The 3,508-nt window shown below is 35.3% G+C and overlaps 1 annotated feature.

Annotated features, from left to right (window-relative positions):
• Positions 1,243–2,878: an enhancer, noted in NCBI's record as "VISTA enhancer hs592". NCBI's record gives its function as "enhancer in: hindbrain (rhombencephalon)[8/9]" and the evidence as "EXISTENCE:transgenic organism evidence [ECO:0001131][PMID:17130149]".

Here is a 3,508-nt window from a genome sequence, read left to right as displayed (position 1 = left end):
ATTTTCCTTCTTTATGAAAATTCTTAGAATCTGTAGCTTCATTTAAAATTGCAAAGGTCATTTGATGCAGCATTTCCACTAGCAGTGACAAGCAAATAAATAATCATAGACTTGGGAAAAAAATCTAGCTACATGCATATTCATCACAGTGTCATTTACAGTAGCAAAAAATTAAAAGATAAATGTGCACTAATAGGAGATTCTAAAATATGACAAAAATAAAGTATGGCATGTCCATGTACTAGAATATTATGAAATCACTGAAATTGATGTTGAGGAAGAACATATACTAAAAAGATATTATAAATATATCATAAGGTTTGTTGTAAAAGATTATAAAACAGTAAAATCCCATTGCTTAAATGGGATTTTATATGTATATAAATGGAGAAAAAGTAACCACGATACACACAAAAATATGAATAAAGTGATTTGAGCCTAGGTAGTAGAAATATGGATTTTCTTTTTTGTATTTTATATGTTTCCTAAATGTTCTATAAAAAACAAATCTTACATTTACGTAAGAAAAATAAGAAATAAAAATTATTCACAATTGAGACTTTTGGTGTTCAAAATACTTGAACATTACTAAGAATGGGTACTATGCAGAAACAATTTGTCATTAGCAGATTACCTATGCTCCTTTGGAGTGATTTCTCTGTGACTTTTCACACTATTTCACAATTCTGTCCTAGGCTTTATCAAAATCCATGGACATCTGATCGAAACAAAAATTAACAGCAATCTGCAAAAGAGCTATTAGGGACATTACTCTTGTGAATAGATAGTCAGCACTCTGGGGACAGACACTTTGTTATCTTTCTCATCTTAAATTTCACTGCTGGGCTTAACGGTGCTTTGTGCCTACCAGTGTTCAATCATTGGATCAATGTTGAATGACTGTTAAACTCCTTGATGTCAGAGCTAATTGCTGACAACACCCTACAGGGTTTGCTATGAGATGTATATAAATTGCAATCTGCCAAAATGAGAACCCAGAGCTGCTTCTGGGGATCAAAATTAAGGGCAACCCATCTTTGCTTTGCTGGCTGTGCATTAGATTTAAAAGGAAAAACAAACAAACAAAAAACCCAGAGTTGATTCCAGAATGGAATATGTGTAAAGAGTTCACATTTGTTGTATCTTAGTTGGTATTCCACAATATGATTTTTAATAGATCTTTCATTTTGATCTCATCTGCTATGAACTAATGTGACTACAATAGGTTGGATAAAATGTCACTCTCCTAGAAGAATGGAGCAGTGTAGAACAAATGTCATGATTTTAAAGTAACATTCTTTTTGCCTAACCCATTGTCCAGTTGCATTTCAAGTGAAGACATATGTTCTAAATTAAATTTATTTTTTAATACTATAAGGAGTCCTTATCTCCAGGCATGCTTTTGTACTTGCTATCACTTCAGTAATTTGAATCACCTACACAAGTTCAAGGAAAGCACTGTGAACATAACAAGTCCTTATCCAAGTCCAGGATATTTTGTTCACCTAGTTTACTGCCGTACCATCTGCCCTTTACTTCTGGAGGACTTTCAATAAAGCAGGAGCCAAAGTAAATGCAGATACCCCACTGCTATCTATTTAACTTTCGTTAAGTGAGTTGGTGCAGTGCTCAGTCGCCTTCTCAAAACCAGCCCATCATCTAAGAGTATTTACATAAGACTCTTTGCATTATATTCCAACCTCTGCAACACTAGTATTAACTACTGACATCTGCCAACTCTGACTGGTAAGTGCTTTACAGTATCAATTCATCCCAAGCAAAAAGCATTTCTGAGTGCTGCAGTGCTCTTGTTAATGCCAATAAGAAGTATCAAGGCTCATATGACACCTAGAAGAAATTAGTACCCACATTCAAAGAAAAGTCTTTGTTATTTCCCAGAGTATTATGTGGACTTTATTGAGATGACTGCATCTGACACCTGCTGTAATATAAAATGCAGCTATAATTAGCCAACTGATGCTCACTGCAGTTTAGGTCGAATCCCTTCTGTGGGAATTATGCTTTAAAATATTCAGAACTCCAAGTGGCTCTCATTACATTTAATTTTAACTTAGAATTAGGTGGTCTAGAAAAAAAAATTTAGGATTGTAATAGCCCCCTGCTGAATGCCACACAGCAACGTGAAAACCCATAGGGTTTTTTCCCCCTCTAAAAAAAAAATGAGAACAGCAGACTACACTACAGCCTTCAATTGAAGTCTGGCTTTGCTTAATTGTACTTTTTGCACTCATCAGTCTCTCCTCTTCAGAGCAAGCTACAAAAATTGCCTGAATAGCCAAAGAAAAGTTTCCCACAGTCACTGGCCACAGAAAAACACTATTGTCCTTCCTCACAGTTTGATGGACAACATTTCTATAAATGGGTAGCCAGGCTGTCAATGGTACCCTTGCTGAAAAGGCAAAAGAAGAGAACAGATTCTGCCAATATCTGACAAAGCATGTTAACACATAATCAGGCATTCACTAGTCAGGCAGCTGCCCCTGGGACCTTCATCACACAGGTGCCTTTAAGCCATTTCCTATTCACAGATAAAGGAAACAAACAGGAGATACCTGGGAAAGGAGCAGTCTATTATGATTCACCAAATGTCCATCTTCTGGGCTGTGTGTAAAAGTAGAAAGAGGAAAAAAAACCCGGTAGTTTCAACTGAGAAATCATAAAACAGCCAAACACTTACAAAATCTTTAAATTAAGCTGTGGAGTTTTTTCCTTTCCTTTTCTCTATCTTTATTTTTTTAGGGGGGAGGGTGGTGTGTGATTTGTTTGTTTGTATGGCATAATAGCACTCAAGTATAACAACAAAGGCCATCTTTTCCTTGGTGGCTTATCAAACACATTCGCCCAGACTTAGTGTGAAACACTAAGGCCGAAATAAATACTTACCTGGTCCAACTGAGTCACAAAAGCGTTTACTTTGTCACTTGAAGCCATTTTTCCTATACACTCACACATTCTCTCTTTCTTCGTTTCAAGAGTTGAGATCAGTAATGCCAAAAGGGTAATGGGGTGAATGATTCTCCAGGAGAGCAGAAACTCTGGACCATTTCTTGAGGAACCACCAAAATAAATACTTCAGAAAAATAATTAGCATTTTTTATTTCTTCATAAGTGCTCAGACTAAGAACATTATTTCCACACTGTGGATATCTACCCAATCAGAGGAAATATCAGACCTTAATACTCCATTAAGCTAATGGCCCTATTACCATATATGACATTAAAATGTGCATACTGGTATATGGTTGTTCTTAGGACATTTTCAAATTAAAATTTAGTGATTACTACCTTTAAGTTGTTAAGAATTTCTATTTTATTTCTTCATTTTCATTTTAGTGATTATCATACTGTCAATTCCTCTATATTTAAAGTGTGGTACACATATGAGGAAAGAACCAGGAATGCAATTTTGTGAAGTGATGAAGTTCTTAGGAATCTCAGATTGACTAAAATATAGTTGTTAGGATACAATTTGAAAATTGACACACTC

This window comes from Homo sapiens, chromosome 14 (assembly GCF_000001405.40).
Source record: "Homo sapiens chromosome 14, GRCh38.p14 Primary Assembly".
In the NCBI taxonomy this organism is placed as follows: Eukaryota; Metazoa; Chordata; class Mammalia; order Primates; family Hominidae; genus Homo; species Homo sapiens.
Note: the sequence above shows the minus strand (reverse complement) of the source record. Positions and strands in the feature narration are given on the sequence as shown.